The following is a 19907-nucleotide window of genomic DNA, read 5'->3' on the forward strand; positions in this document are numbered from 1 at the left end:
TCTGTTAAAAGATATTTTCTTCCAATGAAAAATATGTCTTTAAAAATGTCATTGTCATGTGAATCATATATCCTAAGAAATTGAAATAGCTTCATGGTCCTTGAAAAGGTTAACCAAGACACTAGACTTGTACACAAATACACATATACATGGAGAGAATGGGAGTACAACTAAAAGACCACCCCAAATCCCCTTTTATAAATAGGCAGACAAAGCTCTCATTCACAATACTGGCTTGTTGGGAGAAAAACATCCTCACACAGGCAGAGAAAAACCTATAGTACATACCAGTTCCATTAAACCTAATTCAATGAATAAATAAATGACTTAATAGGTAGATAAGAAGAATCAATAAAACTGAGAAAAAAAACAGAAAAATTATATCAAAACAACCAAGTATACAAACAGAAAAGCAAATTCCAAAAAAAAACAGGAATAATTCAGAAGACCAAATATAATTAGGTCAAAACCAGAATAAAGCAAAGGCCTTAATTAGAATTAATAGGAAATTATAGGGGAACATCTTATTGGTTTTTCTCGTATACTTATGGCAGAGAAATGCTAACTTAAAATATATAGGTGTGTGTGTATATATATGTGTGTGTGTGTGTAAGCATACAAAATGTATGTATTTCAAATATACACACTAATATTTAAATATAAATATATACACATATATATATAAATATACATATATATATATGGAGGATGGATAATACAGGAAATATAATATTGTTATAAAGGCATTCCAGAAATAGAGGAGAGAGTAAGTGTATTGTATTAGCTTCCTGTTGCTGTATTATCAAGTTAACTCAAACTTAGTGACTTAAAATGACACCAATTTATTATCTGTCTTACAATTCTGTAAATTAGAAGTCCAACGTGTGTCTCACTGGACTGAAATCCAGGTGTCAACAGGGCTGCATTCCCTTTTGGAGGTTCTAGAGGAAAATCTATTTCCTTGACTTGAAAAAGTCTTCTACAGACTGCACTTGTTATTCTACTCAATCTCTTTATCTTCAAGTCTATCAATGGCAGGTTGAGTCCTTCACTACATCATTGACCTTGCTTCCATTGTCACCTTTTATTCACTGACTCTTCTGCCTCTGTCTTTTAAGGATTTTTGCAATTACATTAGGCCCACTTGGGTGATCCATGATAATCTTCTAATCTTAAGGTCAGCTGATTAGCAACCATAATTCCATTTGGATCTTAATTTCCCTTTGCCATGTAACAACATTCTCACATCTTCTAGGGATTAGGCTATCTCTCTCTTTTTTTGTGGGGAGTGGGGCAGCGGGGGCTGCTATTATTCAGACTACCACAGGTAGATCCAGAATCTACAAAGAACTTAAACAAATTTACAAGAAAAAACTAACCCCATCAAAAAGTGGTAGAAGGATATGAACAGACACTTCTCAAAAGAAGACATTTATGTGGCCAACAAACTTATGAAAAAAAGCTCATCATCACTGGTCATTAGAGAAATGCAAATCAAAACCACAATGAGATACCATGTCATGCCAGTTAGAATGGCGATGATGAAAACATCAGGAAACAACAGATGCTGGAGAGGATGTGGAGAAATAAGAATGCTTTTACACTGTTGGTGGGAGTGTAAATTTGTTCAACCATTGTGGAAGACAGTGTGGAGATTACTCAAGGATCTAGAACCAGAAATACCATTTGACCGAGCAATCCCATTACTGGGTATATACCCAAAGGATCATAAGTCATTCTACTATAAAGACACATGCACATATATGTTTATTGCAGCATTGTTCACAATAGCAAACACTCGGAACCCACCCAAATGCCTATCAATGATAGACTGGATAAAGAAAATGTGGCACATATACACCATGGAATACTATTAGCCATAAAAAAGAATGAGTTCATGTCCATTGCAGGGAAATGGATGAAGCTGGAAACCATCATTCTCAGCAAACTAACACGGGAACAGAAAACCAAACACTGCATGTTCTCACTCATAAGTGGGAGTTGAACAATGAGAACACATGGATACACGGAGGGGAACATCACATACCAGGGCCTGTCAGGGGGTGGGGGCCTAGGAGAGGGATAGCATTAGGAGAAATACCTAATGGGGATGACGGGTTAATGGGTGCAGCAAACCACCAAGGCACGTGTATAACTGTGTAACAAACCTGCACGTTCTGCACATGTATCCCAGAACTTAAAGTATAATAATAAAAAAGATATAATCAAAGGAAGATTTTAAAAATTATTCAGAGCAGAAGGTAAATATGTTTTTTAGTTTACAAGGTTGTATTAACTGTAGAGAAGGTTAAGTGGTGGGAATTACTTATCAAGACTTCATTTGGCTTTGACCTTCAGAAGATGAAATGGAAATACAAAAATTTAAAACTTTCTAGATAAAACAAACAAAGATTGCATACAAAGCAACAACACAAAATATTAAAATTAAATTTCTCAGTAGTATTCGATACTATAAGGAAATAAAAAAAATCCTTCCAAATTTAAGGAAAAGTGATTTTGAATATAAACTGTACAAGAAGCAAAATCATAACTTACATGTGAAAAGTTAAATTTTTTTCACATCCAAGGATTAAAAAATATACAACCCCATCAACTCAGAAAGAAAATTGAAAAAAAAATTCTGAAATAGTCACATGTTGCTTAACAATGAGGATACTTTCTGAGAAATCTGTCATTAGGCAATTTTATCATTGTGTGAACATCATAGAGTGCACTTACACAAACAGATGTTATAGCCTACCGCACACCTAGGCTCTATGATATAGCCTATTTCTCTCAGGCTACAAACCTGTACAACAGGTTTCTGCATTGAGTAGTGTAGGCATTTGTAACACAATAAATATTTGTGTGTACATACAAATACATCTATAAATAGAAAAGGTACAGAAAAATATGTTATAAAAGATAAAAATAGTACAACTGTATGGGGCACTTACCATGAATGTATCTTGCAGGAATTGAAGTTGCTCTGGGTGAGTTAGTGAAGGAGTGGTGAGTGAATGTGAAGGTATAGGACATTACTGTACACTACTGTAGACTTTATAAACATTGCACAGTTATCTACTTGTATTAGTCCATTCTCAGGCTGCTAATAAAGACATCCCCAAGACTGAGTAATGTATAAAGGAAAGAGGTTTAATTGACTCACAGTTCAGCATGGCTGGGGAGGCCTTAGGAAACTTACAATCATGGTGGAAGAGGAAGCAAACACGTCCTTCTTCACATGGCAGCAGGAAGGAGAATGAGCGAAAAGAAGTGGAAAGTCCTTACAAAATCATCAGATCTTGTGAGAACTTACTCACTATCATGAGAATAGCATGGGGAAAACCATCTCATAATTTAAGTAGCTCACACCAGGTTTCTCCCACCACATTTGGGGATTATGGGAACTACAATTCAAGATGAGATTTGGGTGGGGAGACAGCCAAACCATATCACTACACTAAATTCATTAAAATTTTTTTCAATAATAAATTAACTTTAGCTTACTGTTTTCTTTATTAAAATTTTAAATTTTTTAACTTTCTTAATGTTGTAATAACACAGCTTAAAACAAATATATGTGTAGCTATACAATATTTTTCTTTAAATTCTTATTCTATAAGCCTTTTTATTCACAAAACTTTAAAAAAAAAACTTTTCTGTTAAAAGCAACTACATACATTAGCCTAGATCTACAGAGGGTCAGAATCATCAATATCTTTATCTTCCACCTCCACATCTTGTCCCACTGATAGGTCTTTAGGGTAAATAATATGCAGGGAGCTGCCATCTCCTGTGATAACAATGCCTTCTTCTGGAAACCACTTGAAGGACCTGCCTGAGGCTGTTTTACAGTTAACATTTTTTTATGAGTATACTCTAAAATAAGATAACAAGCATAGCATAGTCAATAAATAAACCAGTAACATAGTTCTTATTATCATTTTCAATTGTTATGTATTATACATAATTGTATGTGCTAGACTTTCATAGGACTGCAACTTAGTTGGTTTGTTGACACCAGCATCACCACAAACAGTTGAGTAACACATTAAGTTATGAAATTATGATGGTTATACTGTCACTTTGTGATAGGAATTTTTCAACTCCATTATAATCTGATGGGGCCACTGTCGATGATGGAAATGTGCTTACATACTGTACTTGGAAAAAACAAAATTTTCAAATGTACAAACCATTCAACTTAGAAAAAAATTACAAAAATTTGCTTAACTTTTCAAACAAAAAAGAGATGCAAGAAGGAGACTGTCATGACAAGTTAGATGCATCGAGTGCAGAAAACTAACAACAAAGCTTGATATAAAATTAAGATTTGTTACTCTGTCGATAGAATGTTTCCCTTCAGGAGCACTACTTCAGTGATGTGAGCTTATACTTTTTTTTTTTTCCGTTGGGTCTAAGCTTGCTACTTCTTAATGTACAATACAATATACAATATTTTAATTGTTAATATATCATAAAAATATAGTGCGTAACACATGATATATATCATATGTAATGTTTAATATATGATATATATGTTATATATGTATATAAAACTTAAAATATCTAGTATACAATATGAAATATGGACACCTTGAGATCACAGGGTACAATACCAGAGAGGATAGAGTTACACAGAGGGAGAGACCTCTAAAGCTTACAGAGGTCCCATTTGTATTCTCAGCTGAGTACTGATAAGCACATGCCTATGAGGAAAACAATCGAAGGCAGAGAAAGAACCACTTAAAGCATTAGAAGAAAGAATAGACACTAATAAGAGTGAAAAACCTTAAGGTTTAACATTCTCATTGAAAGGCGGAGGTTTTCAAATTAGATAAAAGAGGAAGATCTCACTACATATTATGTAAAATAAACCACTGTAAGTATAAAGCACAAGTAGTTTGAAAGTAAAAAGATGGAAAAAATGTGTACTATGCCTTCAGAAGAAGTTCAGAAGAAGGCATAGTTCATCAAGACTCAGAACTGTACACTAAAAGACAGAATTTTACTGCATAAAATTCATACAATAATTTCATCAATGAAAAAATACATCTTATCCTTAAAAATAGTATTTGAGATTTTAAATAATGCAAGCAGAAGGATAAATACAAATCCTTATAATAATATCTGTGATTTTTTTAAAAAGGTAAAACTAAGAGCAAGTAGAAAGACCAATACTTAACAATTTTTTACTTTACAGTGGTGCAAAACTCTATTTTTTAATATAATGTACAGTATCCAATAAATTACAAATGCTATTCAACACAATTATAAAATAGCATTTGAATTAGATGATTTTATCCAATTTTAAGCTAACATAAGTGTTCTGAGCACATTTAAGGTAGGTTAGGTGATGCTATGAAGTTTAGTAGGTAAGGTATATTAAATGCATTTTTCAATTTACAATATTTTCAACTTAATGATGGATTTATTTGGATGTAATGCTATCATAAGTCAAGGAACATCTGTACAAAATATTGATGCCTTGAAACACTTGAAAGTTTGTTATAAATGCTTTTCCAACTTGTCACTGTCCCACATTGTTTGTCAGTCTTAAGTTTTAGTACCACTAATTTTCATCTTTATCTACTTTAAGAGTATTTGTGCACAAAGTTGGGAAAAGGCATGCAAGCCAGATGTCATGTTCAGCTGTAAAAGTTTCAGTGAAGTTTTTGGCGGAAAATAAGGACAAAGTAACAATGAACTTAGCAATGCAATTCAGATCAAATGCTGTGGCAGTCATTTGAGTTATGACTTAATTCACTTTTTGAAAAGTTCAAAGGGAAAGAAATGATTTCACAATTTCTGGACTGTAAGAAGCGTATGGATAATCAGTCACCCTTGGTTATGTCCATACCCTCTGGTTTTCTTCCCCTATTCCCCACATGGGGCATATTTTCCACAGTGGGTGTTGAATAAAAGTTAGTGGCATGAATAAATGAATATCGCAAAGTAATATAAAACAAACAGATGACTTTGCTCAAATGAATGTCCAAACCGTGATAATCTGATTGGCCAAATGACTGGGTTAAAAGCCAGTACTCATTTTTATGAATTGTTCATTCATGAAATTGTGTTATACCATCTCTTATATTTCCTATATCCAGTTTCATCAGTTGGCAAAAATTTAAGAATCTTTTTCCTACCTGATAGTGGGAGTAAACGTATATTTTCTTTTCTTTGTCTACCTTGTAGCTGGATGGGGCTCTTTTCCCACCTATGGGCTTAGTGGCTTTAGCCATCTTCAGGCTCCAGTCATTAAAAGTCAACTTATTTCCCTTTGTTCTGGTACCAGTGTGTGAGCTAGGGACTGATATTTTCCCAATTTACAATAATTAAATACTATCCTCAAGTCTATGCACAAAATTAAAAAAATGATATTTTAAAGGAAACAATTAAAAGGCATTGTCTAGATCACTTAGTATGAGCAGAGTTCCCCAATGTATCTTTTAGCCATGAAACCTAGCATTTAGGAGTGTATTATATTCTTTTCCTAATTAATAAATCCAAACTTTATTTCTCAATCGGCTATTTGTGTCATTTTTTTGTTCATGAGTCAAAACCTAAGAATGGATGAGGCATCAGTAGCATGGTGTATTGAACCCTAATATAAGAGTTCTCCAATCTGAGATTCTGTATAGGCAACATAGGCAACAGCGCCTTTATTGGCCAGGATCATGCAGAGGTGGCTCTTACACTTTATTTAAAACTCATCTCAAAACAGAAAGATATGAATGCTATAGACAATTTATTTCATTTCATTTTATAATTTTATTAAGGTATTATTGAGATATATTAAATTGCAAATATTTAAAATTAACAATATGATGTGTTATAACATTTGTAGCTCCTCATAAAATCATTATCATGTTCATAATAAAGATTATGCACTTTGGGAAGCCAAGGCAGGAGGATCACCTGAGGTCAGGAGTTTGAGATCAGCCTGGCCAACATGATGAAACCCCATTTCTACTAAAAATACAGAAATTAGCTGGGCATAGTGGCGCACACCTATATTTCCAGCTACATGGGAAGCTGAGGCGGAAGAATCGCTTGAACCCAGGAGGTTGAGGTTGCAGTGAGCCAAGATCATGCCACTGCACTCCAGCCTGGGTGACAGAGCAAGATCTGTCTCAAAATAAAAAATAAAAAAATAAAGATGATGAACATATCCATCAACCCCCAAAATTTCCTCATGTCCTTTTATAATTTCTCCCTCTACTTCTTCCTTGCACCTGTCCTGCCCAAAGGGAGCTGCTAATCTGCCTTTGGTCACTTTAAATGAGTTTGCATGTTTTCATATTTTATATAACTTTGTAGAATGATATAGTATACTCTTTATTTTCTGGCCTCTTTTACTTAGTATAATTATTATATTTATCAATGTTGTTCAGGTATAGATAGTTCATTCCTTTTTATTTCTGTATAGTATTCCATTGTATGGATATGTTGCAATTTGTTTATCTAGTCACCTCTTGAGAGAATACTTTTTGGAGATGGGGATGACATCGAGTCTATAGATAAATTTAGAGTCATTTGAGCAATTTATAGCTTGTTACATTGGTACAAAAGTAATTACTAATACTTTTAATGGCAAATTAAAAGTTTTTGGTTTTGCCATTACTTTTAATGGCAAAACCTGCAATTACTTTTACATCAATCTAATTACAATATTGAATTTCCAAACTATAAAATGTTATATTTCTCAATTTATTTAAATATTTTCACTTTTCTAAGCAATGTTTTATCATTTTATTTTAACAGGGCTTGCAATTATTTTGTCAAATTAACCCCTTAGCATTTTATAATTTTGATCTATTTTAAGTGGTATTGATCTTTTCAGTTTGTTTTTCAATTCATTCATTTTCTAATTTAAAATTTTATATGCTTGTATATAAAACTAAAATTAATTTGTGTCCTTTAAACTTATATGCTGTGATATGGCTAAATTTACTCATATTCAGTATTTTGGGAGGTAGATTTCTTAGGATTTTTTATGCACATAGTCATAATCCACCTCTTATTTATTTTCTTGCCTTATCACATTGGTGAGGACCTGGAGTACCATGGTAATTAGGAGTAGTAGAAACAGTCTAACTTGCTCAGTTCCTGATTTTAGGAGGGAAATGTTCACTCTTTTACCATTAAGGTATAGGGTTTTCTTAGACATTTTTCCAGAAAGGGTTTTCTTAGACATTTTCCCTTGTTTCCAGAAAGGGGTTCCGATCCAGACCTCAAGAGAGGATTATTGGATCTCATGCAAGAAAGAATTCAGGGTGAGTCCAGAGTGCAAAGCAAAAGCAAGTTTATTAGGAAAGTAAAGGAATAAAGAATGGCTACTCCATAGACAGAGCAGCCCTGAGGGCTGCTGACTGCCCATTTTAATGGTTATTTATTGATTATATGCTAAACAAGGGATGGATTATTCATGCCTCCCCTTTTAGACTATATAGGGTAACTTCCTGATGTTGCCATGGCATTTGTAAACTGTCATGGGGCTGGTGGGAGTGTAGTAGTGAGGACCATCAGAGGTTACTCTCGACACCATCTCAGTTTTGGTGGGTTTGGCCAGCTTCTTTACTGCAGCCTGTTTTATCAGCAAGGTCTTTATGACCTGTATCTTCTGCTGACCTCCTATCTCATCCTGTGACTTAGAATGCCTAACCATCTGGAAATGCAGCCCAGTGGGTCTCAGCCTCATTTTACCCAGCCCCTAATCAAGATGGAGTTGCTCTAGTTCAAATGCCTCTGAAACTCTGGATGTGAAAGTTTTGAGTGTTAAAGGAACTTTTCATTTTAGGAGCTAACTTTACTCCCATGTGGTCATAAACACTGTACATTTTGTCCTAAGATATTTTGACTCAATATTCATGAGGGTTATTGCTTTGTAGTTTTATTTTTTTATTTTCTTGCAAGATCTTTCTCAGGATTTGGTTTTGAAGTATTGCTAACCTCATAAAATGAGTTTAAAATGTTTTTTTGCTTCATCTTTTTTTCCAAAAGAGTAAAGTCATCTTGGCCTGTGGTCTTCTTTATGGGAAGATTTTAAGTAAGAATGCAATTTCTATAACGAGAATAAAGCTATTAACATTCTATTACTTCTGATGTCAGTTTTGATAATTTTTATCTTTTAAAATTTAGCCTAAGTTATTGAACTTGTTGACAAAGTTATTCACAAACTTTTTTTCTTACCTTTTTGAAAGTCAGTAAGCACTGTAGTGGTGTTTCCTCTTTCATTCCTGATATTAGAAATTTGTGTCTCATTGATCACTGAATCTCTATTATTAGGACAATGCAGATAATATCATAAAAAGATGTTAATATTGTTTAAAAATACCACTTACGTTCTTACCTCAACTAGAATATACAGCCCCTTCATTCGTTGCTAATCTTCATGTTAAAATGACATTTCTTGCTTTAATTTGCCTTTCACTGACTGCTAGTGTTATTCTGCATCTTTTCACAGGTTTATGGATTATTTGCCTTTTTCTATGACTTCTATGTTCGTATTTTGAGCCTATTTTTACACTGTGATGTTTATATTTTTCTTATTAATTTGTAAACATGTTTTATATTTAGGAGTATTCATCCTTTGTCTGTTATATATAGTACAAATATTATCTCCAAGTCCATCATGTTATTTTCACTTTGTATATATCACCTTTTATCACATAGAATCTTTTACACTTTATAATTTAAATATGTGAATCTTTACAGCTTTCGGGTCTACTGAAAATATTTTTCTGTTTTTATAATTACAACTTTAATCCATCTGTAATTTATTTTTTAATATAGCCTGTGGTTAAAAAAAAACTAACATTATTATTTTCTAAGTTGGCATATGGTTTTCTCAGCATCAATTTTGAATGATTAACTTGAATCTTTAGATTATAATTTTAGTTTATCATGATCAAACTTTCTAGATTTAGATCTGTTTGTATTTTCTGCCTAATTTGTATATGTATTTATTCATGAAGTACTGCCATAATGTTTTAATTGTAGTAACTTTTAACTAAATGATACAGCTATCTCTGAGTAAATGGATACTCACTTTCTAATACGTTTTATTACTTGTATCTGAATGCTTCCAAATTATATTCATTACTCAAGTTCTTAACTATTTACCCTTAATATTAATCCAGAGCTGCTGTATATTAAAAACTGGACTAAAATAGCTAAGTAATGTTTTTCAGTTTTCATTAATATTCCTAGATTTTTAAAATGAGAGAGTAATAGAATGTAATATTTTTAAAAGCTCATAGTTTCTATCTCTAATTAAAACAAAATACCCTGTGGAATACCCTTGTGTCATTTTACCTGGTTTCATTAATACTGGCTACTGAAGGTAATTTAAATTCACTCTTGTAAAGTGGGATTTCAGTATCAGCATTTTTTCTCTGTTAGCATACTCAGTGAGACTTATAAATAGTTATCTGCCGGGCAGTAAACACTAGGCAGGCTTGCCTATTGCAAATAATCTCAGCCAATAAATGTTATTTATGTTCTATTTAGGAATAAAGATATTAATCTGAGATCACAAAAGGACATTTGTGTTAAAGCAATTCTGCTTTGATTAGTTGCATATGCAAATATTACTCAATCTCTTTCATCTCCTTCTTTGTCAGTTGTATAGAAAGAAAACTAAATGCACAAATGCAGTCAAATCTACGATTAATACAAATGAAACTGTGAGAATTGAATAACCAATGCATGTAGAATTACCTCTCATTCTGATTGGATAGTTTTTAAATGTTGACTAAAATTTAAATAAATAAATACAAAAAGAAGCTGTCTGAAATGACCTATTATTATTTTATACCCAGATAAAACCTGGGTTTCCACTGATATGAGAAGGAGCTTCTCTCATTAAGGAGGTTTGGGTTTTTTTGTACTGTTTTCTGTACATTCTCTCAATCTGCTTTTGGAGTTTTTACTCAAATCCTTTATCCTTTGATTTTGGGGAAAAAAATATAGAAGCTACACTAGATTCTGCTAAATCAGATAGAATTTTGGAGTCTTCTTTCTCTCTCCTGGACAGCTACTGTCAATTGGTATGACGTAGGCCTTTGTTTTGTTTGGCTGTGGTTAGTGTGTTTCTTTGCTGGTTTTTTTAAAATGTATTTTTAGTATTCATTTGTTTAGGTTGAGAGGGTTGGGAGTTATTCTTTCAAAGGTTATCCCTTCATTTTGGAAGGCCTTTTAAATTGTGATCTTGCATGCAAAATAGTTTAATCCCAAACTGGATATTTCCTTTTTTTAAGCTTTTTCCCTCAGATGCTGGACTCACATTATTGACTAAGAATGAAAAGAATTCAGACCCGGATGTCTTTCCCTTGTAAAGCAGAGAATATAGAAAACAATGAAATTTGGGGTCCCTACTACTCTTGCTTCTCCTTTTCATCTTCTCCTCCGCCTTCTTCTTGTTTGCCAATCACCTCAGTTACTATGTTTTATGTTTCTAGCATGGCCTCGAAAAGATCCTCACTTAGCTGACTCCACAGTGATGGAGTAGTGGATTGCTGGCGGGACCAATATGTAGACACCCTTAGAGGCTACTTGTAAATATAGTCAAGAGGGGTGATCAGCCTATCTTCTCACTTCAACTATGAGATGAGTTTCTTATTTCTAAGAAAACTGACTGTAAACCAAAAATAAAATTCTGAGTCCTCCAACTGACTGAATGGACCCTCCTCTTAACAAAAGGTGACCAAACAAACCTGAAAAACTAGTTCAGGCCATGACAGAAGGGGTGGGTTGGGGGGATCAGAATATGCCTCATTATACTCCTTTCTCTTCAGAGTTCAGGCTCAACTGACCAGTATTAACATTAAAATAGATCTCCTAAGACTGAAAGAACAGACAATTTGTAGCCATAATATACCAATGCCAGCCTGACTCTTGAATAACATCACAAGACAGATAACAGGTTCTTCAAAGGAAATCAAAGTATTTCACCCCAAAATACATTTCTCTGACACATTTTGAAATGGCCCTGCAAAACTGTCTCTTGTGGGGGGAAATTTGCAATCTGTAGAGAATTTCTTTTCTTTACTAGGTCTCTTAGAGTCTGACACATTTGATAAGAGGCATTCCCATCTATTCTCTCTGAAGCCAGCTATATGGAGGCTTCATCTATAAGACAAGAACCTTACCTTTCACAACCGCCTCCACCACACATCCCGCCCCTTACATTAACCCAAGCTTATTTCAACTCCTCAGGCAGCGCTTAACCCCTTCAACCAACTGCCATTCAGGAAATCTTTAAATCTACCTATGACCTGGAAGCCCACCTTTCGAGATGTCCTGTCTCTCTGGACCAAACCAATGTATACCTTACTTGTATTAATTTGTCTTTACCTGTAACTTCTGTCTCTCTGAAATGTATAAAATAAAGCTGAAATTCAATAACCTGGGACATATTCTCTCAGGACCTCCTGGGGCTGTGTCACAGGTCATGATCCTTAACCTTAGCAAAACAAACTTCTAAATTGATTGAGTTCTGTCTCAGATACTTTTTGGTATATAAGACCTATATTCAGTTGAAATAGAAGATGGCCATTTATCTCAGAGCATCTATCTAGAATATCTTGGATGTCCTGCCACTATTATGCTTCTTCTTTAATTTTACTTATGAAATTGTGACCATTTTAATGAATAGAGGAGAGATTTAAAAATTAATGATAAAGACATTCTCAGTAGTCTAGGGTTCAGGGTTAGTTGGAAGTGAAAACTGCTGAATGTTAAAAGAGTAATGCTGGTATGCTAGACTATTGTAACACTTTCTCTTTGAGTTTGTCTTACTTGAAATTACAAGATTCTGTATGGCTCAGGAAAAAGACTGATAATTAGTAACATTTTGCTTCTACTTATATTGTCCACTGAAGATCATTTTGCTTCATTAGTTGGTCAGTAGAAAGGAAGCTCCATGATCTGTTGAACAAGTGTATTACAGTATGAATCTATGACAAAAGGAAGTTTGAAATGACTTCTTTCTTCTGGCATCCCAATATAAGTGTCTTTTGGTAAAAAGAGTTACTTTTATGTCAAATGGCTGGTTGGCAATATAATTTTTTAAAGACAGGAAGCTGAAAGACGCTATTACCAAACAAAGCATCTGTAGTGTTAACATCTATATTTGAGCATCTTTTATTTTCCGAAGGGGTGCAAGTGATAAGAAAGGCAGAGAAATCCACTTGAATAAAGCTTTTCAAAATGGATGGAGCAGAAAGCATTCCCAGACGCAGGTCAAGTTCAACCCAAGAACAACTCTCTCAGTGCTTTCACAGCTAGTTAAAATACAAGACCAATAATACCTCAGCTCTCAAATCAGTGCTGAAATCCAGCAGAAGGTCGTTAATATTGATATGGTTAATATACATCAAACAGGATTCCTTTAATTTTCTGAATCGAAAAATTCTCCACAGTGTTGACATTTCCTTACTGAACTCTCAGGATTGTTTGGCTTCAAAGGCTGTTGGGCCCAAGACGCATTTTGTTTTAAATAATCCTTCATAAAAAAATCAGCTTTCAGTCTAATATGATTGAAACTCAGCTTGAGTGTGTTTTATAATGCATTGAACTGGAAAGACTATGGGCACTGAATTATTCAAAACATGGTAGGCAAACGAGTGATATGTGTTCTCATGTGGGGAGGGGGCGATCAAAGAAGTCAGTGAGACTTGATATGTCTTGTTATCTCATTTTATTTACCTTTTAGAACTCCTCTAAATATTAGAGGAAAGAAATCAATATCAATTTTCACCTCTGTCACGTTCCACACTTCAATTATTAATGAATGTCAAATTTGACCACAGTTCTCTGTACCACCTGCACTGCAATAATATTTCTGAGCCTTTATTAAAAATGTAAAATTGTCACTGAATTTCCAAATATGATTCTCCAGTGGCTAATTTGGCTTGTTTTATTAATAAGCGGGTTCTGATGAGTAATACTAATTTAATACGCCTGCATGTAAGATTAAACTATAAATTATTCCTGCTGAAGGTGATGAGATATGACTGCTGTGTGGTTCTTGGGCAATAACCTTCCTGAATTAACCCTGCAAGCACACAATTCCTGGAAGAAACCATTACTTCATATAGCAAAAAAACCTGATATCTCTTTGTATGTTTTCTTTAGCAGAAGAATGTGCACAAACACACGTAAAACACATGATGGGTGACAAAATACACATGCATACCATACGTGGCTTACTTGAATTTCCAAATAAAATGTCTCCAAAGGAAATGACTTTACTAGTGATTTTTATAGTTTATTAATTTTGGCCACATTACAATACCTCATGAAATCACTTACCATTCTGCTGTCAATCTGATGTTTTCAATTCTGAGACGCTTAATATAAATTAAAGCAATTATTAGAGTCCTGGACCATGCAAAACTCTTTAGTTACAGGAAACCTGATGATTGGAGGTCAAAATTGCCACCAAATATTTCTGTACTCCAAGAGACAATTGGAATATCAATGTGTATCTGCTTAAGGATAGAATGTTTCTAGGAAGAAACTAGGTATATTTTATTTAATACTAGAAGGAGTCAACAGCCAGGGCTGTGGATAGGTGAGTAGATGAGACTTTCATTGCTTTGTACAATAAGCCACAGACAATACAAGAAGTAGCCTCCAGCTTTTTATTTGTCTTTTGTACTAAGCTTTCTTTAGTATATTGCTCCTGATCAATTACACTTAAATCAACAGGAGTTGCTTGAACATTGGACAGTTGTGTTCCCATGCCCTAAAGCATTTTTGAGGGTTACTGAGATAGAACTAATTAAAAAATACTCCCTCCAAATTTTCTTTAGTGTGGCATCAATGAACATAGCTTAGAGGAAAAGAATTCCACCGTGATTTCCTGGTCTGCCACTCTAAGGCCGGGCAAACATAAACCTTCAGAGCAAAACACTTCTACATTTGCTCCAAGTTGGGAATTTGGTTTCCATATTCTTATATAAAAGGTAAATGAGGCCTAATTTCCCTATAATCATTTTCCAAAGAGTAAATATAGTCAGTCATTCATAAGTGACAATGAAAATTAGGATTTTCAAATAGCTAACATTTCACCAATTGCTTAGTATATTTTTGTTGAATAGTGTTTTATTTTTATCTTGAAAAGCCACTATTCACAGTCATAAACTTTTGCTTTCACTTTAACTACCAAGACTGAACAGTTGCTTGACCTATAAATGCAATAAAGCATCAGGTCACAGCAGAATCACAACAAATATTTTATTTCATATCAGAGTGAATTGATTGTTCAGGTGCAAAACGAGAGTGCCTTCATTTTTAATCTTTTTTCTGGCTCTAGATTATTGCATTCTGAACAGAATGGTTTTACTTGAGAAATGTAAAGGAGAAATGTTCACTTTTGTTAACATGGAAATTGATAACCTCAGTAGACAGAGCCAAGAAATGTTTTTATTCAGCTGAATTCATGTTTTCAGTGATGATTCAAGGTTTAATAAGAATTTCTTCCACCAGTCCAAAATCTGAGCATGATCAGCTTCTCACCAAAGTTCATGACAGGCCATTACCTGTTCTGTAGAAAGGAAAATCGAAATACTACAGTTCTCTAATGTTTTATTTGACTTATTAACCACTGGACAACCATTGAGTGAAGACATCATTGCTTTAAAAAAACTGTTAAGGTGAAACTTAATGTATCCTGGTGTTGTGGCCTGATTTGGAAGCTTCGTTTCTGAGCATTTTATAATGTACCAAGGAGAATAGACCCAGGGATATCTTCCATAGGCCCACAGTAAATATTTGTTCAATGGGGAAAAAATGAATATATAGTTCAGGAGAGACATTTGACAGGTAATTGACATTTCTGAGTGATAATGCTCAAACTCAGCTATGATCAAACACTGTGAAGTATTCTTCTGAAACGAACTTTCTATAAATAAGAAATAAAAATTCAATTATGGGAGGACTTCCAGTTTCATTTCTGATATATAAAATGCTTGGCAGTTGTCACTCCATCTTTATGAGATAAAGCTAAACAAACTGAAAATCAATGACTTTTCTTAGATCCATAAGAAAACTGAGGTTGCACAGTAAACTGCCACAGCCCAGAATGTGGAGAGATAGGTGATTCCAGAGAGTCACAGTAGAAATCAGATCTGCTTACCTGAAGCAGAAGTGGCTAGAGTAATAACTGGTAGGTACAATTGTAATTGCCCGATGGGTTCTTCCTGCCCATTACACAGACCAAATCAATTCACTGAGACCAGGGCATTGCAGTAAAGAAAGAGTTTAACTGATGCAAGGCTGGCCACATTATGTGGGAGAGAGTTATTACTCACATCAATCTCCCCATAAATTTGGAGGCCAGAGTTTTCAAAAATAGTTTGGAGGGCAGGGGGCTATGGTATGGGTGCTGCTGATTGGTTGGGAATGCAGTCATAGGAATTTGGAAAATGGTCCTTGTGCACTGAGTTTACTTCTGGGTGGGGGCCACAGGACTGGTTGAGTCATGGATCTGGGTGGGGCCATCAAATTGTCAGAAATGTAAAAACCTGAAAAGACATCTCAAAAGGCCGATCTTAGGTTCTACAATAGTGATGTTAATTACAGGAGTAATTGGGGAAGTTACACATGTTGTGACCTCCAGAACAATGGCTCGTAATCATTTAACTATGCCTATATTTTAGCAGAATTTGGGCTCCTCTTATTCTTCTAATCTGGTGGTCTTTTCGTTAGTTTTACAAAGGTGCTTTAATTTTGGGGAAGGGCTATTATCATTTAAAGTATAAACTAAATTTCTCCCAAAGTTAGCTTGGGCCAAGCCATGGAATGACCAAGAGCAGTTTAGAGGTTAAAGGCAAGAAGGGGGTTGGTTAGATAGATCAGATCTCTTTCACTCTCACAATTTTCTCACTGTTGTAATTTTTGCAAAGGTGATTTCACACTTAAATGGTAATTTTGCTAAAACTGGAGGCTGAGTGTGGACTAGCATGAGAGTGAAAAACTCTGGTGTCTGCAGCCTTTGGGGACTTCGTACTTCTGTGAAATTTACCTCCAGGAATCATACCAGGTTCTCACACTGAATAAAGATGAGAAGATGCACTCATGAAGATCAGAGGAAGATTCACTCATGGCTTTGTCAGTAGAGGGGAAGTTTAATCATTGTGAAATATATGCAGAGAATTTTCCATAAAAAAGGCCCACTCTTCAGGAGGAAGATTTTGCCAGAACTTTAACACAGCTGGAATAAGGACCTTCTTCCCTCTCCAGCCCCCTTTATTTTTATCTTACCTAAGAGGAGTGGGACATAGTCAACATGCGCCAAAGCTTTAAGGAAATAGATTAGAAACACTGCAGCCCAGAGAGACACAGGCCCACCAGAAAACTGAGATTTAATTGTAAGGTCATAAAACACTCTTTCTTCCCCATATCTTAACACCACAACCACTGGGCTCCAGTATAATAACATTAGATTATAGCTGAAAGAACTCCAAAATGAACTCTCTCTGAGGAAGTCCAAAGTTTCTAACAGGAAAGATAAAAACAAGAACACTAGAGTTGAAGCCTCTGGTACCTGTAGCTACAGAAAACACTAAACACAGCTCAACTTCCAGCAAAGTAACATAAATCCTCACTCTAAATGCCTATTTAGCTCAGCTTCTATTACCTGATATAGTACGTCCAGCTTCCAATTAAAGAATTACAAGTCATGACAAAAGGCAAGAAGAATACAATATGGGAAGACAAAGCAAAGATAAGAAACAAACTTGAGAATGATGACAATATTAGAATTCTCTGAAAGGGAACTTAAAATAAATATGATTAATGTGGTAAGGAGTTTAATGGAAAAAGTAGATAACACATAAGAACTGATGGATAAGCAGATAGATGGAAACCCTGAGAAGGAATCAAAGGAAATTCTAGAAACAAAAAACACAGCAACTGAAAGGAAGAATGAATGTCTTTGATGGGCTCACGATTAGACTCAACATGGCTAAGGAAAGAATCAGTAAGTTTGAACGTACATCAACAGGTATCTCCCGCCAGGTCTGTCCTGCAGACACTGGCGGAGTGACAGATGAAAGGAGTACTCAGACACAGGTATGCAGTGTAAGAGCAGCTAGGGAACTGCCCGGCACTAGTGGCTGAAGAGTGAGCAGTCCCAAACAGCTGGAGCTGCTTGCTGTTATTCAGTACAGACATAATGCTGAAAGCCTGGAGCAAACACAATCTGTGGGTAATTAATATTATTGTTCATCCTTTCAGGGAGCAGTTACATGGGTGGATGATCAAAGGTGGGTTTCCAGACAACATAAGTAAACAAGTCTATTTAAGGTAAATTATCCTACACTCTCTTGTACCTATTCTTCACCCTCTGCCTCAAGGTAAGAGAACAGTTGCCCTCAGCTTATTCTCCCCTGAAGCTATGCAGAGCCTTCTGACCTTTCAGAAGGCCTGCTCGTTTCCCTATAGCTTCTCCAACCACTCTGACCAGTCTCCTACAATTTCCCAAAGTGAAATATAATATTACTCTACCACACTGCTGGACACCAAATATATACCACCCCAAAATATACTTCTTTGGCATATTTCAAGATGGCTTTTAAGAGAAACTGCAGACACATAAATAGCTTTTTGCAAAAGACAACTTTATTAAAAAGCTGTCCTTTTACATCTATCTACATCAGTGAAGTAAATAGCAGATGCAAGCAGAGGCTTTCTCTTAGGCCCCATATCAGCCTAAATACAGATCTTGGAAAGGTCATATTGAAACCTTGCCCAGAGATCACAACAGGCTACAATCTATTCTAAGGGCTGCTACCTGAGATACTTTATCTACATATTAAGACAACTTTGTTTGCAGTGCAGTTCCTCCCTTCACCCTCCTGTAGCTTGTCCACATCATCCTCCAGGAACCCCCTGATCCCTACTCCATTCTATGTTGTATAAAACTCCAGTCATCTTATCTTTTGAGTCTTAATTTTGTGAGGCTCTCGTGTATATGCACATAATTTGTATGCCTTTTCTCCTTTTAATCTGTCGACTGTCAGTTTACTCTAGAAATTCAAATTTTTCTGTCTTCAAAGGGTGGAAGGAAAGTTTCTTTCACCCCTACACTACTCGTAATAGAATACCAGAATGAGAAGAAAGAGAGAAAGAAGCAGAAGAAATATTTAAAGTAATAATGGCTGAAAAAAATTTAAAATGATCAAGACACCAAACCTGAGGATTAGTGAAAGATACCAATCCACAGCTCAGAGAACACCAAGGAGGATAAATGCAAACAACAAAAACAAAAACACTTCACATACCTAGGAATATCATGTTCAAACTGCTGAAATTTAAAGACAAGAAGACAATCTTTAAAGAAGGCTGGGGGGAAAACGAACCAAATTATCTATATTTTAAAAAGGAGAAAAATTACAGGGGATTTGTTGTCAAAAACTTTTCAATGAAGAGAATGGAGTGAAATATTTAAAGTTCTGGAAGAAAAAAACCACCAATCTTGAATTCTGTATCCAGAGAAATTATCCTTCAAAAATGTAGGAGAAATGAAGATTTTCTCAAACAAAAACTGAGGACATTCATGGCTAGCAGACCTGCTATGCAAGAAATGTTAAAAGAAGTTCTTCAGGGAGAAGGAAAATAATGTAAGTCAGAAATGAAGATCCACATAAAAAGAAAAGCATTATAAAATAAATTAATGAAGGTAAAATATCTTACTTGTATTGATTTAAAAATAACTCTTCAGGTACTAGTGACAATGTATTGTGTGATAAAAAAGAGTCAGGCATACTCTGTTATAAGGTACATAGAAGACTAAAATGTGCTACCTCAAAACATGCCTTTTTGGCAAAAGGAATATTTTGAATTGATTACTTTAAGAAACTGCAGACACAGGAGAAGCTCTGAAAACAGAG

At 34.8% G+C, this 19907-nt stretch overlaps 1 long non-coding RNA gene across 1 annotated transcript in view, besides 1 other annotated feature; it reads left to right on the forward strand.

Annotated features, from left to right (window-relative positions):
- Positions 1 to 19907, forward strand: part of LOC105376103 (uncharacterized) — a 96161-nt gene that overhangs the window by 33981 nt on the left and 42273 nt on the right. The window lies entirely within an intron of this gene.
- Positions 11536 to 12142: an enhancer, noted in NCBI's record as "OCT4-NANOG hESC enhancer chr9:83015743-83016349 (GRCh37/hg19 assembly coordinates)". NCBI's record gives its function as "activates a minimal SCP1, AML or CMV promoter by ChIP-STARR-seq in primed H9 embryonic stem cells {active_cell/tissue: H9 hESC(primed)}" and the evidence as "EXISTENCE:reporter gene assay evidence [ECO:0000049][PMID:30033119]".

Source organism: Homo sapiens, chromosome 9 (genome assembly GCF_000001405.40).
Source record: "Homo sapiens chromosome 9, GRCh38.p14 Primary Assembly".
NCBI lineage: Eukaryota > Metazoa > Chordata > Mammalia > Primates > Hominidae > Homo > Homo sapiens.